Below are 18,806 nucleotides of genomic sequence, written 5' to 3' on the forward strand. Positions count from 1 at the left end.
TTGGCCAGAGATTTGTACAATATTCCCTGATAGAAGGTACCAGGCAGGAGAGGAACATCACCTGGGTGCTGAGCCCAGTGATATGTCACAATGCTCCCTTTGGGCAAGGTTCAGGCAAAAGAAACACATCATCTGGTCAGTAGGCCCAGCAATATGTTACAGTCTTCTCTATAGGCAGGGTGCAGGTAGAAGAGGACAGTCATATCTCACTGGTAATGGATGCAGAGATATGTCACAAGGCCTTCTGTGAGCAGGACGCATGCATGTGCCTCCTATCCCCTATGTGTTGAGTCCAGTGATATGATACAATACCCAAATATGCAGGGCCCAGGCAAAATAGGAGTGTCACCTCACCTAGGTTCTGGGTCCAGTGATTCATTACAATCCCCTTTTATTGGCAGGGCCCAGGCAGAAGAGAAGAGGCACATCACCTAGGGGATGAATGAAAAAATATATCTTAATACCCCTGTAAATAGAACCCACGCATAAGAGTCACATCAACTAGGTGGTGGACCCAGCCATATGTCACAATACACAATGTAGGCAGGGCCCAAACATAAAAGGAGAGTCACATCTTCTAGGTGCTAGGACTAGTGATACATCACAATCCCTCCTTGGGCAGAGTCTAAGCAGGCAAGGGGAGTCACATCACCTAAATGCTGAGTCCAGCAATGTGTCACAATAACTCCTGAGGGAAGAGTCCAAGCAGTATTGTTATATCACCTGGGTGCTGGGACAGGAATATGTTGCAATCTTCCTTGAAAGCAAAGACTAGGCAGGAGAATCACATCACCTAGTTTCTGGGACCAGCAATATTGTCACAGTGCTTCCCAGTGGACTAGGCCCAGGCTGGAGAAACACATGACCTGGTTGCCAGACCCAGTCACAATCTTCCCTGAGGGTAGAGAACAGGCAGGAAAAAGGCACAACCCCTACAAGATAGATGCTGAGAAATACAATAAGCCCCCTCTAGTCAGGGTCAAGGTAAAAGTCTCTTATCTCCTAGGTGTTGGACCCAGCAATATGTCCAATACCAAAAATACGCAAGGCCCAGGTAAAAGAGGTGAGTCACATCACTAAGATGCTGGGTCCAGTGATAAGTCACTATTATTCTTTCTGGCAGGGACCAGGCAGAAAATGTGATTCACATCACCTAGGTGACTAACGACATGATAGGTAATAATGTCCCTGGGGGCAGAGCCCATACAGGAGAATCAAATGACTCAGACATTGCACCCAGACACATGTCACAATAGCAATGTATGTACAGCCCAGGCAGGAGAGGAGAGTCACATAACCTAGGTGCTGGGCCCAGTGATAAATCACAGTTTCTTATTGGGCAGAGCACAAGTGGTAGAGAAGAGTCATATCACCTAGTTGCTTGGTCTGACAATATGTAACAATACCCCCTGAGGAGCAGGCTCAGGCAGGAGAGTCACATCACCTAGGTGATGAGCTCAGAGATATGTCACAATGCCCTCAGGTGCGTAGGGCTTAGGAAGAAAAGAAAAATTACATAAACTAGGTCCAGGGCTCACCCATATGTAATGATCACCCCAGTGGGGGAGCACCCAGGCATGACAAGAGAGTCACATCATGTAGGAGCTGGCTCAAGCAATATGTAGCAATCTCCATTGTGGACAGGACTGAAAAAAAGACTGGCCACATCAGCCATCAACCATGTGATGAAATCAGAAATATGTCAAAATTATTCCTGTGAGCAAAGACCAGGCAGAAGAATTACATCATGTGTGCTGGGCTTAGTAATAAGTCACTCTCTTCTCTGTGGGCATGGTCCAGGCAAAAGAAAAAAGTCACATTACCTAGGTGCTGGGCCCAGAGTTATGTCACAACCTCTTCTATGGAGAAAGCCCAGGTAAAAGAGAAGAGTCACATCAAATAGTTGATGGGCTCAGAGATATGTCACAGTGCCCCTTGTTAACAGGGTCCAGGCAGAAGACTTACATCTTCTTCGTGCTGGGTTCAGCAGTATTTCACAATGTTGTTTGAGAGCAGGACCAAGGAAAGAGAGTAACATAACCTTGGTGTTGGGCCCAGTGATATGTCACAATGTCCCCTGTGGGCAAAACCTAGAAAAAAGAGAGGAATCACATTATCTAGGTGCTGGACCTGGCAGTCTGTTTCAATACCCTCTGTAAGCAGGAACTAGGCAGGAAAGGAGAGTCACATCACCTATGTAATGGTCACAGCGATACGTCAGAATGCTCTCTGTAGGCAAGGCCTAGGCAGGAGATTTACATCACCTGGGTGTTACACTCAGGAATATGTCACAATGGCCCATGTAAGGCACAGGCAGGAGAGTCACATAACCTGGATGTTGGGTGCAGTGATATGTCACAGTGTTCCCTATGGGCAATGCCAAGTCAGGAGAATAGATTCCCATCACCTAGGTCCTGAGTTCAGCGATGTGTCACAATCCTATCTGTGACCTGAGCCCAGGCAGGAGAGTCAAATCACTCAAGTGCTGGACAAAGGCATATGTCACAATCACAGCTGCAGGGTGGTCCATAAATGAGATTATCAATTCTGCACATGTTCAGGAGTTACAATCTCAACTGGGGACTTTATCTCTGCATGAGAGCTTCTATTTGTCCTGCACGCTGGGTGTCCTTAGTGGAGTCAAAGTCTCTTAGGTTTCAGGTATCCTGAATCTTGGTCTGAGAGTCACCAACTCATCCTATTGCTGGGTCAATGTTGCAGCAGACCTGTACCCATACGGATTCACTGCCAGTAACAGGTAACAGGTAGGAGAGAACAGTAACATCTCCTAGGTGCTTGATCCAAACATGTCACAATAGCCTCTTTGGGGAGGGCTCAGATGAAAGAGTCCCATTATCTAGGTGAAGTGTTTAGAGATATGTCACAATGCTCCCTGTGGGCAGGACTCAGGAAGAAGAGAAGAGTCACATAACCTAGAAGCTGTGCCCAGCTGTATGTCACAACCAGCCCAGTGGGAAGAGCCAAGGCATCAGATGAGAGTCACATCACATAGGTGCTGGGTCAAGTGATATGTCACAATCTCCTTTTGTGGACAGGACCCAGGAAGAAAAAAAGTCTCACATCATCTAGGAGGAGAGCCCAAAAATATGTAACGATGATTCTCGTGGGCAAGAATCAAGGCAGTAGAGTGAAGTCACCTGTGTGCTGGACCCATGGGTAAATGATTCTTCCTTTTGTAGACATGGCCCAGGCACAATTACATCAACTAGGTGCTGTGCCCACAGAAATATTACATTCTCTCCTATGGGCAAAGAGCTGGCATAACAAGATAATCGCTTCAAATAGTTTTGAGCTTTCAGAGATATGTCACGATGATCTCTGTGGTCAGGGACCACGCAGAAGACTCACATCATGTTGGTGGTGGGCCCAACAATATGTCACAATGTTTTCTGAGAAGAAGGTCAAGGTAAAAGAGTAATGTCACTTTGGTATTGGGCCCAGCAATATGTCACTATCTCCCATGTGAGCAGAGACCAGGTAAGAGAAGAGAATCATATCACCTTAGTTATGAGCACAGACATATGTCACAAAGCCCCAAGTAGGTAGTGCCAAGGCAGGAGAATACTGTCACATTACCTAGGTGCTGGATCCTGTGATATGCCGCAATCCAATTTGTCAGCTAAGACCTCACAAAAAAGTCAAGTCACTCAGGTGCTGGGAGATGCAGGAAGATTCGGGGGTAAGATTAATAATTCCACACATGGCAGGGTGTCCACAGTTCTGGCCCCAGACCCCAGGTCCCGGCCAGATTCCCCAAAGTCAGAGGCTGGAATCTGGTGGTGGATGTAGGGTGTCAGCTGAGCCCAACCCCTGCCCAGCGGTGGCCAGCATCTAATAATTAGTAACTCCACACAGCGGCTCACACCTGTAATCCCAGCAATTTGGGAGGCTGAGGTAGACGGATCACCTGAGGTCAGGAGTTTGAGACCAGCCTGGCCAACATGGCAAAACCCTGTCTCTACTAAAAACACAAAAATTAGCCGGGCATTGTGGCACATGCCTGTAATCCCAGCTGCTCAGGAGGCTGAGAAAGAAGAAACGCTTGAACCTAGGAGGTGGAGGTTGCAGTGAGCCGAGATCATGCCACTGCACTCCAACGTGGGTGACAGAGCAACAGTCCATCTCAAAAAAAGAAAGAAAATAATGATAATAATAATTCCACACATGTCCCAGTTCTAGGTATGAGGGTCAACACCTCCTGAATGTTGAGTCTAAGTACATGAGTCACAATCTCAACAGTAGACTGCATCAAAGCCTCTATTCTTCCTGCAAACTTTGTCTTCTTAGTAAAGTCACAGCCTTACAGGTTTGCTGAGTCATGGTGTGAGAGTCAACAACCAGCCTGTAAACCAGATCCATGTGTGCAAGTCAATTTTCCATCTTTTGACCACCTTTGGGTGTAGGATTCGGAACCTCAACAGTGGGCTCTGTGAAGTCACCAGCTGAAGGGCTATTCATGCACGAAAAGTTGTTATTTTATCATCATTGTTTCTATTGCTTTTACCTTGCTAAGAATACATGTGTAGCTTATAATTGTGCTAGAAAACCATAAGGGTTTTGGTTAAATTACCCGTTGTTGTATGTTATGAAATAGACAAAAAATTGGCAAAAATAGATTAAAATTATACAAACTTGGTGTCAACTTTCTCTTGGGCAAGTTTAGGAAAGACAGACCTGGAAATACCCCAGTAAAAGGCTAATCAGAATCTCAGAAAAATTGCAACCATTAGTCCTTTATCTACCTATGACCTGGCAGCTCCCGCCCTGCTTCGAGTTCTCCCACTTTCCTGGACAATGTACACCTTCCATATATCGATTAATGTCTCCTGACTCCTAAAATGTATAAAATCAAGCTGTGACCCAACCACCTTAGGCCCGCGTTGTCACGACCTCGTGAGGCGGTGTCACGGGTGTGTCTTTAATCTTGGCAAAATAAACTTTCTAAATTGAGACCTGTCTCAGATACTTTGGGGTTCACTTTACTAATTTTAGGTAGAATTTAAAATTCTTAAAATAGAAACAAACATAAGGACTAAACTGAGAAAAACTTTAAAAAGTATACTCAAATTCACTGACACAATCATGGGTATATCTAAATAATGAGATTCCGTTTTAAGTAAGAAGAAAATACGTAATTACGAAGGAGGCTTTACCTTTGGGAAAACAAAAAGCCACTTTTGACCAATTATTCCCACAGATACACACCCGGGTCCCCAACCACCCGCCAGGAGGGCCCATCCTGGTGCCTGGAAGGCGGGGGTTCCTGCGATCTGGGGTTGGGATTTCGGCTCAGGCCGTGCGCGGTGGCCTTGGGTCGCGCCCGCCCTGCCTGGGCCCCCAGCCCAAGGGACCGAGCGGGTGCGGGCGGGGCGGGCGGGGCGGGCGGGGCGGGGGTGTCGGGGGCTCGGACTCGGAGCCGTCCCTGCCAGTGGCTTTCGTGGGCGGCCCCGCCTTGGAGCCCAGGCCAACGAGCCGCGCGGGACGGAAGAGCTGCGGGTGGGGAGGGACAAGCGGGCGGAGAAGGGGCGGCCCTGCTGGAGGCCCAGCGAGTCTGAGTGATTGACAAGTGAATGAGCTGGGAATGAAGACTCCTGGGGCCGGGAGGGAGAGAGGGGGTTGGAGGGTGGTGAATGCCTGGGCCTCTGGGGCTCCAGGCTGCCAGTGGCCCGACCAGGCTCTCGGTGTCCTCCTCCAACCTCAGTTTCCTCACCTGTCCCAGAGGACGAATATGACTGTTGTGATGATTAGGCCAGATAATCCTGGTAAGCATTTATTAGCCTGCCTGGTCTCTGGATATTTTTTTTTTCTTGGTAAAGACATTTTGCCGCCCAATATCTACTATTGGAGAGAGAGTTTGGGAGGCAGAAGGTAGGACTCACCCTTGGCTTCAGAGTCCCTTATGGGTGCCCCATCCCCTTAGGTTCAATTAAAGCACATAGTTGGAAACAAGTCCCCTACCCAGGACAGCTACAGAGTCCAGAACCAGAAGATCTTGTTTTCTGAACCAAGGACTTTGTCTTATCCCCAAATCCTAATTCCTCAGGGTGGTCAGCTTCAGACAGGAGTCTGAAATTGATTCTCGCTCTCCGGGGTGGATCCAAGGCTCTTGTGATGCGGTGTTGTTCTACCCCATCCCACCCCTGTGCCTCCCCCAATGCATTGGGAGTCCTTAACCGTAGTGACTTCAATTTGGAAACAATGCTCCCAAAGCAGGAGATGTGGCCCTCCCCAGGCAGCTGGCCTGATAAACATCTGTCCTGGGGCAAAAGACCCAGAGCAGGGAGGGACTCTCACTTCCCACTTTCACATGCTATAGTCATTTAATGGGCTGTGGTGACATCTCTGGGTCACCTAGCCTGCAGAATGGGATGTTGACTTTGTGCCACAATGAGGGAAACGGAGGCACAGGGCTAGTGAGTGAAAAAAATCAGAAAGACTCTGTGACTAGGAAACACTATTCAGGCCCACGGCCCCTACAGGACTCAGCATCCTTTGGGGTGCACCAGTGGGTGGTATGCGGCACCCTGGTTGCCATCTGTACCTTATGGGGGTGAGGGTGACGGTGAGTGTCCTGGCAGGACAAGGTGCTCTAGGACCCACGAGGTAGATAGACATTGCCCGCCTTTCCCTGGCTGTGGGCACAGCAAGAGTTCTGTTCTCTAATGTATGTGAGGACCAGTGCCTACATGCAATAGACACTTCTCATTTCAGACATTCCAAAGATTTTAGGGGCTGCATAGAAAGAAACTGAGACAGACTCTAACCACATCCTCACACTGACAGGAGCCTCCAGTCTAGGCTCAGCTCTGACTCTTCCTGGGGAGGTTTGCTCCACCCTCGTCCTTCCAACTAGAACCCACTCCCGGTAGGCCTGTGCACGCCCATCTTTTACAGCAGCAGCATGTCTTGGTAACTTGACATTTTCTGCAATAATCTTGCTGTTTGTTGTTTACTTCTTTAGTGTTTGTTCCTGGCAGCTGTGTCTAGTTCACCACTGTGTTCCCAGTGCCAAGCACAGTGCTCGGCCCGTGGGAGGTGCTCAATGAGCAGTTGTTTAATCAATGAACAATGGCTCTGTCTATGCCAGGGAAGCAGGAGTAGGTCAGAGCACACCTTAGCTCACCCATTTCCTGTCTGGGTGACCTTGGATAAGTCCTGAACTTTTTTCCTTTCAGTCACCTTGTCTGTGACATGGAGATTAATTAAACTTACCTGAGTTATTTCTGATGAGAATTTAATGCGCAAAAGTATCTAAAATGCTTCTAAACACAGGCTGGCACAGTGAGAGTGCGGCACACATGTGAGCTGTTTGCATTATCATGCCGCAGGTTGTTGGAATTCTTTTTCACTCATCATTTGGATCTTGAAACTCTGTTTACCTCATTGCATATAAGGAAAATACATTTTGAATTATGTTTAGTATTTCACACTGAAATTATTTAAAATGTCTATAGCTAGGTAAGATGTGGTTGCTCATGCCACCATCAAACCACAGCACTCCAGCCTAAGTGATAGAGTGAGATCCTGTCTCAAAAAATACATGTAAATAGTTGGCTGGGCGTGGTGGCTCACACCTGTAATCCCAGCACTTTGGGAGGCCGAGGTGGGCAGGATCACAAGGTCAGGAGATCGAGACCATCCTGGCTAACACAGTGAAACCCCGTCTCTACTAAAAATAAAAATAAAAAATAGCTGGGCATGGTGGCGGACACCTGTAGTCCCAGCTACTCCGGAGGCTGAGGTAGGAGAATGGTGTGAACCCGGGAGGCGGAGCTTGCAGTGAGTTGAAATAGCACCACTGCACTCCGGCCTGGGCAACTGAGCGAGACTCCATCTCAAAAAAAAAAATACATATAATTAATTGATATTTATATATGATTCCTGTGTGCTGCATAACTCTTGTAGCACAGAGTTGTTTATTTTTTAGATAATGTACATTACACAGAGTTGTTTATTTTTTAGATAATGTACATTATTTGCCTTTTTCAGTGATATTTTTGTATTTTATATTCAGTTGAAATAGCATTTCTATTAGTTGTACAAATAAATATATTATTTCCTATTTTCAGCTAATAACCATAGCTGCATAGTTTTAAAATATTTTATTAACTTATCTGGAAGAGTTGATAAGATAAACTTATTTTATATTTTGTGTATGAACATATAAATATATTTTATGTTTTTGTGTGTGAATATATAAAAATATTTTATATTTTGTATTTGAACATATAAATATCTGGACACTGTAATAAACTGATAATACATTTCAAATGCTTTTGTTAATCACTCTATTTTTAATCACTCTATTTTAGATTCATCCTTTTTATACATTCTATGAATGGATGGATGGAGAATACGTAGACAGATAGTATATAAATGTATGTGTAGATAAATGTAGATGCAAATACACATCTGTTGAGACAATGCTGCTTTCAAAATCACAGAGAATGGTCACATTTTAACCTTTTATGGAATTAAATAAAACAAAAGATTTTCTATTTTTAATTACATTTACATTTTAATAATACAATACATAAATAACATATTTTTAATAAAATTCTGGATTCCATTTAATATTATATTATTAGAACTTCTGTATCTATTCTGACACTTGAGATTAACTTTAACTTTCCTTTTGCTGAGTTTGCCCAGTTTTTATTTGAAGTAATACTACATCATGGGATCACCTTAGAGGCTTTCTATATTTATATGTTTTGCATCAGTTTCTAAAATCTGGAAATTATCTCATTTTGAATTTCTTATGGAAATAGAATCTTCCCCACTAAAAATATCCCATTAGTATACTGCACTTTATTATTATTATATTTTTTTTTTCCAAGACAGAGTCTAGCTCTGTTACCCAGGCTGGAGTGCAATGGTGCGATCTCGGCTCACTGCAACCTCCGCCTCCTGGGTTCAAGCAATTCTCCTGCCTCAGCCTCCGAAATAGCTGGGTTTACAAGCGCCTGCCACCACGCCCAGCTAATTTTTGTATTTTTAGTAGAGATGGGGCTTCACTGTGTTGGCCAGGCTGGTCTCGAGCTCCTGCCCTTGTAATCTGCCCTCCTCGGCCTCCCAAAGTGCTGGGATTACAGGCGTGAGCCACTGTGCCTGGCTACTGCACTAAATGTTTCTCTTTCTGGTTATATTATCTATATAATATTTAGTTATTTTTATTTATTTTAATTTGCTTTCAATTTTCGTATTTGCTTTTGAAATTACTTTTTTAACTGGCATAATATTCCCTTGGATTCTATTAATGAACGTCCGTGCTGTTTTATATTTTGATATTAAAAATAAAACCTCAGTGTGGATGTGATGGCTCATGCCTGTAATTCCAGCATTTTGGGAGGCTGAGGTGGGAGGATTACTTAAGTCCAGGAGTTTGAGACCAGACTGGGCTACATAATGTGGCTGCCTGTTGTCTAAGTCATCTGAACTCCCTTGGGGAGGGGCAGCAGCCATCACTGCAGCTGCTAGCTACCAATGACACTAAGCCCCTGGGGTGCAGGGGAGGGTGGCAGTCATCACTGTAGCTCCAGGCCATGCTATTCCCCTGTTGGAGCCAAGGAGGTTAGACCGCTTGGTCCCAAGAGGCATTCCCCACAGCACAGCACACCAGCTGTTGCAGACAATGGCCTGACTCTCTCTTTAGGCCAGACCTTCATCCATCCCTTCTCACTGAGTGGGGCCTCCCTGCAGAAACTCCAACAACTCCAGCTGGGAGCTCAGGGACAAAACCTTGATCTTCCTGGGCCTGACCCCCTAGGGGGAGAGGTTGCCATAGTCTCCATGGACCAGCAGACTTAGTCTTTCCTCTTGCTAGCTCTGCAAAATTCAGGCAGCCCAGATGAGTCAGTTTCCCTCCACCACAGCACACCCCCTCCACCAAGGGACAGCCAAAATGCTTCCTTAAATGGTTCCTGGTTCCCATGCCCTCAACTGTGTGAGACCCCCAATAGGGGTCTCCAGACACTTTATACAGAAGCATTCCTCCTGACATTAGGTCACTGTCCCTTGGAGTCAGAAATCCCAGAGGAAGGAGGAGGCACCCATCTTTGCTGTTCTCCAGCTTTCTCTGTGGGCATCTCCAGGTGCAGGAGTGACCCAGATAAATAGGCCTGAAGTGAACCCCCAGCAAACCACTGTAGCCTTACAGAAGAGGAACATGCCTATTGAAAGAAAAACAAATAAAAGGCTACAGCAACAATGTCAACAAAAAAAGTTCCTACAATGGCCGGGCATGGTGGCTCACAACTGTAATCCCAGCACTTTGGGAGGCTGAGGCAGGTGGATCATGAGGTCAGGAGTTTCAGACCAGCCTGGCCAAGATAGTGAAACCCCGTCTCTACTAAAAATACAAAAATTAGCCAGGTGCCATGCTGGGCACCTGTAATCCCAGCTACTCGGGAGGCTGAGGCAGTAGAATTGCTTGAAGCCAGGAGGTGGAGGTTGCAGTGAGCTGAGATCATGCCACTGCACACCAGCGGGGGTGACAGAGCAAGACTCCATCTTGAAAAAAAAAAAAGTCCCCACAAAAACTTCAGCTAAGAGTCAGCAGCCTCAAAGATCAAAACTGGACAAACTCATGAAGATAAGAAAGAATCAACACAACATTGCTGAACACACAAAAGACCAGAGTGCTTCCTCTCTAAATGATCACAACACCTCTCCAGCAAGGGCACAGATCTGAACAGAGAAAAGACTGATGAATTGACAGAAGTAGGCTTCAGAAAGTGGGTAATAACAAACTTCAAGGAGGTAAAGATGCATGTCCTCACTCAATGCAAAGAAGATAAGAACCATGATAAAAGATTACATGAGTTGCTAACTGGAATAACCAGTTTAGAGAGAAACATAAATGATCTGATGGAGCTGAAAACACAGCACAAGAACTTTGTAAAGTATACACAGGTATCAGTAGCCAAAGCTATCAAGCAGAAGAAAGAATATCAGAGCTTGAAGACTATCTTGCTGAAATAAGGCAGGCAGACAAGATGAGAGAAAAAAGAATAAAAAGGAATGAACAAAACCTTTGAGAACTATGGGACTATGTAAAAAGACCAAACCTATGACTGATTGGAGTTCCCAAAAGAGATGGGGAGAATGAAACCAAGCTGGAAAACACACTTCAGGAGATCATCCAGGAGAAATTCCCCAACCTAGAAAGACAGACCAACATTCAAATTTAGAAAATACAGAGAACCTCAGTATGATACTTCATGAGAAGATCAACCCCAAGACATATAATCATCAGATTCTCCAGGGTCGAAATGAAGGAAGAAATGCTAAGGCCAGCCAGAGAGAAAAGTCAGGTCATCTACAAAGGGAAGTCTATCAGACTAAAAGCAGATCTCTCAGCAGAAACTCTACAAGCAGAAGAGAGTGGGGGGCCAATATTTAACATTCTGGAATAAACTAATTTTCAACCCAGAATTTATATCCAGGCAAACTAAGCTTCATAAGCAAAGGAGTAATAAAATCCTTTTCAGACAAGTAAATGCTGAAAGAATTCATCACCACAAGGCCTGCCTTGCTAGAACTCCTGAAAGAAGCATTAAATATGGAAAAAAACAAACAAACAAACAAACACCCATAACAGCCACTGCAAAGACACACTGAAATACAAAGATCAATGACACTGTGAACAATCTGCATCAACTAGTGTGCAAAATAACCAGCTAGCATCATGATGATGGGATCAACTTCACACATAACAATATTAGCGTTAAACATAAATGGGTTAAATGGACCAATTAAAAGATATAGACTGGCCAATTGGATGAAGATTAAAGATTTATTGGTGTGCTGTATTCAAGAGACTCGTTTCACATGCAAAGACACACATATGCCCAAAATAAAAAAAAAAAAAAAAAAAGGAAAATTTACTAAGCAAATGGGAAGCAGAAAAAAGCAGGGGTGGCAATTCTAGTTTCCTACAAAACAGGCTTTAAACCAACAAAGATCAAAAAAAGCAAAGAAGGGCATTACATAAGGTAGCAAGACAAACTGCAGACAAAACCCCTCAGACACCGAGTTAAAGAAGGAAGGGCTTTATTCGGCCGGGAGCTTCAGCAAGACTCATGTCTCCAAAAACCGAGCTCCCCCAGTGAGCAATTCCTGTCTCTTTTAAGGGCTTACAACTCTAAGGGGGTCCATATGAGAGGGTCATGATCAATTGAGCAAGCAGGGGGTACGTGACTGGGGACTGCATGCACTGGTAATCAGAATGGAACAGAACAGGACAGGGATTTTCACAATGCTTTTCCATACAATGTCTGGAATCTATACATAACATAACCAATTAGGTTAGGGGTCAATCTTTAACCAGGCCCAGGGTGAGACACCAGGCTGTCTGCCTGTGGATTTCATTTCTGCCTTTAGTTTTTACTTCTTCTTTCTTTGGAGGCAGAAATTGGGCAAAAGACAATATGTGGGGTTGCTGCCAGAGCCCTTAGACATGGAGGCCAGCCTTTGGAAACCCCATCTAGTTGTTTTGAGAGATAGGCCACTGGCCTTGGCCAGGGCCCCACAGCCTGGGTTGAAACTCCAACTGCCATTATTTCTCTTTCTGACACATAGAGTGTAAAGGGTTTTGTCAAGTCAGGTATCCCCAGGGCTGGGGCCAACATCAGTTTTTCTTTTAACTCATGAAAAGCTCATTGCTGTTGGTTATAATAGAAGTAGTTTATCCAATCTACATTTTTATTAAGTGTCGTCCACCAAAATATTGTCTCAAATCCTGCAGCTATTTGATTTCAAGCTTTAAATTGATCTGGTATTCCCCATGGGACTCCAATTACATCTAAATAGATGTGAGAGTCGAAAGACCCATAAGGGGCTTCTCTCACTTTATGGTGTCTTATTTTTCCTCCCTCTTGTTGATGAAATGCCAGGGTGAAAGGGATAGCCAATTGGACTAAAGTACAAATTCCACTCCAGTTATTTGGCAGAGTGCCCAGTAAAGGTCCATCACAATACCACCACACATCCATGCCAGGATGAACAAAGGGCTGACTGATTGATAAGCTCTTGAAAATTCTTAAGCTCAGTACATCCCTTCAGGTTTCCAAGGAATGCTAAGTTTCCTCCCTATCATGAGAGATGCAAAGTGAACTTAGTGTTGGGAGATGGAAGCTGGATGGCCCTTGGGGGCAGATCCACAGGGTGCCAGACTTAGGGATATAGCAGAGAGAGCTTGGCATGACTTATTACTCCAGGCTATAGAATGCTGGAAAACAGCTACCATACAGCCCATGCCTGGGCAACTGGAGGACCACCTTAGTGGAAAGGGGACAATCAGGGCCTCTGGCCTGCCATGTGCTCAAGCATAACAATTGTCTTTGTTTAATGTGTGGATGGAATATTTGATCCATTCCAACCAGGCATTTGCATCTTGGTATCCTGTCTTAATTGCCAAAGTTTGTTTTAAGTCTTTAACTTCTATGATCCTCTAGTAAAATGAATGTATGATTTTAGGAAATTACAAAAACTGGTTGGGGCAGTCCATCCTTGCTCTTTAGTGGTCCACAGAAAGTTGGACCAGCTATGGCATAAAAGCTCTACATTGGGGGCCAAGAATCCTGGTTGACATTGGAGTCTTTATCAAAATTTCCCCAGATTAAATGGTCCTAATTTACTAATGCCCAGTCTGAGGAGAGTCAGGAGGGACAGAGGTACTTTTCTGAAGTAGAGAGCTGTCTTTGACTTGGCAATTCCCCACAGGGTATAACAACGCAAGCATTAAAGGCAATGGCTTGAGGCGAAATTGACTTGGTTATGTTAATAACCCTAGAAGGTCAGCAATAGAGCAAGGAAAAAAGAAAGAGTAATAGAATAGATGAAAGAGTTAAATTTTTCTCAGCTTTAGTTTGGTAGAGTTTTCCGCTGGGACTATGGCCCATGACTCTGGAGGGGGTGGTGCTTTCTTGACTCGGGTGTGATGAGTCCATCATTTTTTCACTGTACAAACAGCAGTCTTGGTGGTTAACAGCACAAAGTAGGGTCCTTCCTAGGCTGGCTCGAGTTTCCTTTCTTTTCACCCTTTGATAAGAACGTGATCTTCAGGCTGGTGCTGGTTTGCCGGAAATTCTTGGAGTGGTACATGTGCTAAAAGACTTTTAGTTTTGAGGGAAGGGAAAGTGGAAGATAAACCAAGTATATGATTCTTAAGAAACTGACCTTTTTTTTAAATTGACCTTTTTGTTTTAAAAGTCCGTCAGCAGAGGACTTTACAGTCCTTGGTGCCTTTTACTGAGAAATTTCCTTTAGCATCTATTTTCATTAGTTTTTAGACCAAAGAAGCCAAACACCATCTTATAGTTGACAATGCTTCCTGTATGATTTTTATACCAGATAAGCTAAATGTCACCTTTATATTAGTGTGTTATTAATGTTAAACTTAGTTTTATTAAAACTTTGTAGACATGTTTATTCAATTTTTAATGTCAGACCATAAGGTAAGATTTTTATAGACTCTTTTTAACCTTTTATAATCTTTCTTGAAGAGCAGGTTAGTGCTTTAAGAAAAATCTGTTGTGTTTTTACTTTAATGTCCAGTTCACAGAAAAACTGGATGATACCCCTTTAACTTTAGCTAATATGTTAACACACAGAATTTTCTTTATAATTAACATTTTAAAACTTGCTTAAACCTTCAAAACAAATTTTTTTTAACCTTTCAATGTAGGTAAAAATTTACATTCTTATGCCTCCTTATAATCATTTTACCAAAGGTATATTTTAGTTTCCTTATACACCTTGCACATAAACTGTTTCTTCAATAGTACTCAGGAGGCCTAATTACTTTTAAAATATACAACATTTCTTGCATAATTTCTTTTTTATAACTTTTTTTCTCTTTCACGACTTTTGCAGATAATTCTTCGACATGCCTCAACTTTCTGACTTATTACAAACATTTCTTTCTTTAAACAACCAGTTAATTTGTTTCAGGACAATAATTTACCATATAACATTCTTTTTACATAAATTCTGCCCCCCCTTTTTTTCCCTTTTTTTTTTTTTTAAGATGACAACCATTCTTTTCAAAAAGCAAACTTGCTTTATGTCTGTGGACCAGACTGTCTAAGGCCACAAGATTAAAAGTTACTATAATACATGTTACACTATTAACTTTTAGCAAACTTTACTTTTGTTGAAAACCTTGTAAATTTGAGATTCCAACTATCCTTTGCTATTAATAGGACCTTGTTTAGTCCAAATTAACTTAAAATTGGTATAGATGGCTTTTTTTTTTTTTTTCATTTACCCAGTAGGAAACATCTATCATCCTGTCCTGAAGGGAGTTCCTCCTAGGTCTGGTTGGACCTTTGTATGGTAATTAAGATTTAGATCCCCTGTTAGGAAACCTGCTGGGTTAAGTGAATTTTCAGCGGTTAATGTTAAGTCTTTTTTTTTTTTTTTTTTTAACTCAGGATACTTCTGAACTGGTGAGGTGTGCTCACAATGAGGTTTCCTCTAAATTATTTTTCTACTTTCTTCTGTGAGCAAAGCAGTTGCCACTACAGATTGAATGCATTTGGGCCATCTTTGGGTTACTGGGTTAAGGATTTTTGATAGGAAGGCTACAGGTTGTCAGGGGCCTCAGTGCTTTCGGACTACGCCCTTGTTTACACTTACAAGGTGGTATTGGAGTGTTGTAGGGTCATGGAGAAGACCTTCAATTATCAATTATATTTGACTTTCTGTCTCTCTCTCTCTTTGGCTTTCCTTTTGCCTTTGTCTCTTCCTCTCTCTCTGCCTCTCTCTTTCTCTCTCTCTCTTCTTGACTCCCTCTTTGTCTCTCTGTCTCTTCCTCTCTGTCTTTTCCTCTCTCTCTTTGCTTCTTTTTCTCTCTGTCTCTTTCCTCTCTCTCTCTCTGCTGGTCTTTCCTTGCCTCTGCAAGCTGCTTATGCTGCTGTTCTCTCAACCACTGTGGGGTGGGGGGGGGGTCTAAAACCAGCTGTAACCAAGTGTCTATATACAGGAACTGGTCTGGGTGTCCTGGCTTACAGGTTACCTTGTGCCATACCTTTGTAACACGGGACCTGTCCAGGCTTCCTTCTGATAGTCAACCCACCTCTAATGCCAGTCTATCTTACACAAAGTTTTAAGTTTTCCTGCTGTCATAGTACTCCATAGTCTCCCTTAGATCCTTTCTTGAAATTTTTCAACATAGTTCCTGGTGGGGTGGGCTTACTTTGTGCCTGACCCATGCTTTCTTGAGACAAGACACCATGCTCACACCACATGCATACCACAAAACAAAGAACGGGTTAAAAGGGCACACACATACTTTTACAGTTTACACCAAACCAGAATCAAAACCAAAATCAGAGTATCAAGAAATCCAAGCCAGGTCAAAACCAAAACCAAAGTATCGAGCAATCCAAATCAAGTCAAAAACAAAAACCAAAGTGCTGGTACAGGCACATTGTGGGTGATCAGGCCACACTTCCACTCAAATGGAGTAGGCAAGTTACAAAGACCAGTCTTACCAAGTTTCAGATGTCTGGACTCCAAGTGCCATTTCCTTCCCAGTGTTCAGCCACTGCATTGATCCTCCGTGGGGGCCTGCCTTGCACCACTCTGACAAGGCATTCCACCGAGGCAAATGCCTACCCAGGAGCACTCTCAGGATCCACGTCACTCAAGCTGGCCGGAGTTCCCCATAGGGATGCTCCACAGGGCAGGCCTAAGCCACCTAAGGGGCTGCCTCAACGGTCCATCCATTAATCACCTCGCTTCCCAGTCAGGGAACCAAGAAATGTAGCAGGACAAGCCACAGACAAAACCCCTCAGACACCAAGTTAAAGAAGGAAGGGCTTTATTCAGCTGGGAGCTTCAGCAAGACTCACGTCTCCAAAAACCAAGCTCCCCGAGTGAGCAGTTCCTGTCCTTTTAAGGGCTTACAACTGTAAGGGGTTCAGTGTGAGAGGGTCATGATCAACTGAGCAAGCAGGGGGTATGTGACTGGGGGCTGAATGCACCATTAATCAGAATGGAACAGAACAAGACAGGGATTTTCACAATGCTTTTCCATACAATGTCTGGAATCTATAGATAACATAACCAGTTAGGTCAGGCGTCATACTTTAACCAGGCCCAGGGCACGGCGCTGGGCTGTCTGCCTGTAGATTTCATTTCTGCCTTTTAGTTTTTACTTCTTCTTTCTTTGGAGGCAGAAATTGGGTATAAGACAATATTAGGGGTGGTCTCTTCCCTTAATAATTATAAAGGAATCAATTCAACAAGAAGAGCTACCTATCCTAAATATATAGGCATTCAATACAGGTGCACACAGATTCATGAAACAAGTTCTTGGAGACCTACAAAGAGACTTAGACTTCCATACAATAATACAGGGAGACATTACCACCCCACTATCAATATTAGATCAATGAGAAAGAAAATTAATAAGAATATTCAGGACTTAAACACAGCTCTGGATCAAGTGGACCTGATAGATATTTACAGAACTCTCCACCCCAAAACAACAGAATATACATTGTTCTCAGTGCCACATGGAACTTACTCTAAAATTGATTGTATAATTGGAAGTAAAACACTCTTCAGAAAATGTAAAAGGACTCAAATTATATGATACTGTCTCTCAGACCACAGTGCAATCAAATTAAAACTCAAGATTAAGAAACTCACTCAAAACTACACAACTACATGCGAATTGGACAACCTGCTTCTGAATGACTTCTGGGTAAATAATGAAATTAAGGCAGAAATCACGAAGTTCTTTAAAGTCAATGAGAACAAAAAAACAATGTACCAGAATCTCTGGGATGCAGCTACAGCAGTGTTAAGAGGGAAATTTATAGCACTAAATGCTTACATTAGAAAGCTAGAAAGATCTCAAATCAACACCCTAACATTACAACTAAAAGAACTAGAGAGGCAAAAGCAAATAAATTTAAAAGCTAGCAGAGGATAAGAAATGACTAAGATCAGAGCAAAACTGAGGAAGATAGGGAGATAGAGACACAAAAAACCTTCAAAAGATCAATGAATTCAGGAGCTGGATTTTTGTTTTGTTTTGTTTTGTTTTGCTTTGTTTTGTTTTGTTTTTTGAGACGGAGTCTCACACTTGTTGCCCGGGCTGCAGTGCAGTGGCAAGATCTTGGCTCACTGCAACCTTGGCCTCCTGGGTTCAAATGATTCTCCTGCCTCAGCCTCCTGAGTAGCTGGGATTACAGGTATGCACCACCAAGCTTGGCTAATTTTTATATTTTTAGGAGAGACGGGGTTTCACTCTGTTGGGCAGGCTGGTCTCGAACTCCTGACTTCAGTTGATCTGCCTCTCAAAATGCTGGGATTACAGGCATGAGCCACCATGGCTGGCCCAGGAGCTGGCTCTTTTGAAGAAATTAATAAAATACATAGACCACTAGCTAGACTAATAAAGAATAAAAGAGAGAAGAATCAAACCCAATAAAAAATGATAAATAGGATATCACCAGTGACCCCACAAAAGTATAAACTACTAACAGAGAATACTATAAACACCTCTATGCAAATAAACTAAAAAATCTAGAAGAAATGGATCAATTTCTGGACACATAAACCCTCCCAAGACTAAACCAGGAAGAAGTCAAATCCTTGAAAAGACCAACTAAGTTCTGAAATTTAGGCAGTAATAAATAGCCTACCAACCAAAAAAACACACACAAAAAGCCCAGAACCAGATGGACTAATGGTTGAATTCTACCAGAGGTAAAAAAAGGAGCTGGTGAAGCAGCATTGTTGTCTGGGGTAAATACCCAGGGTTCATC

The 18,806-nt window shown here is 43.4% G+C and overlaps 1 protein-coding gene across 10 annotated transcripts in view; it reads right to left on the reverse strand.

The window, feature by feature from the left end:
• The window catches only part of ZNF676 (zinc finger protein 676), an 81,216-nt gene extending 77,276 nt beyond the window's left edge, over positions 1 to 3,940 (reverse strand). For 7 of the 10 annotated variants that reach the window (XR_007066663.1, XR_007066662.1, XR_007066658.1 and 4 more), the window contains exons 1-3: positions 2,194 to 2,383; positions 1,966 to 2,090; positions 355 to 431 (exon numbers count right to left, since the gene is read on the reverse strand). The gene's annotated coding sequence lies outside the window, so the exon portion shown is untranslated. Of the gene's footprint in view, positions 1 to 354; positions 432 to 652; positions 734 to 1,965; positions 2,091 to 2,193; positions 2,384 to 2,407; positions 3,355 to 3,597 lie in introns of those variants that run through there. The other 3 variants (XR_007066660.1, XR_007066659.1, XR_007066661.1) reach the window with 3 other exon arrangements.
• Positions 3,941 to 18,806: the final 14,866 nt, after the last annotated feature.

The sequence above is a fragment of the Homo sapiens genome, chromosome 19 (genome assembly GCF_000001405.40).
Source record: "Homo sapiens chromosome 19, GRCh38.p14 Primary Assembly".
Lineage (NCBI taxonomy): Eukaryota > Metazoa > Chordata > Mammalia > Primates > Hominidae > Homo > Homo sapiens.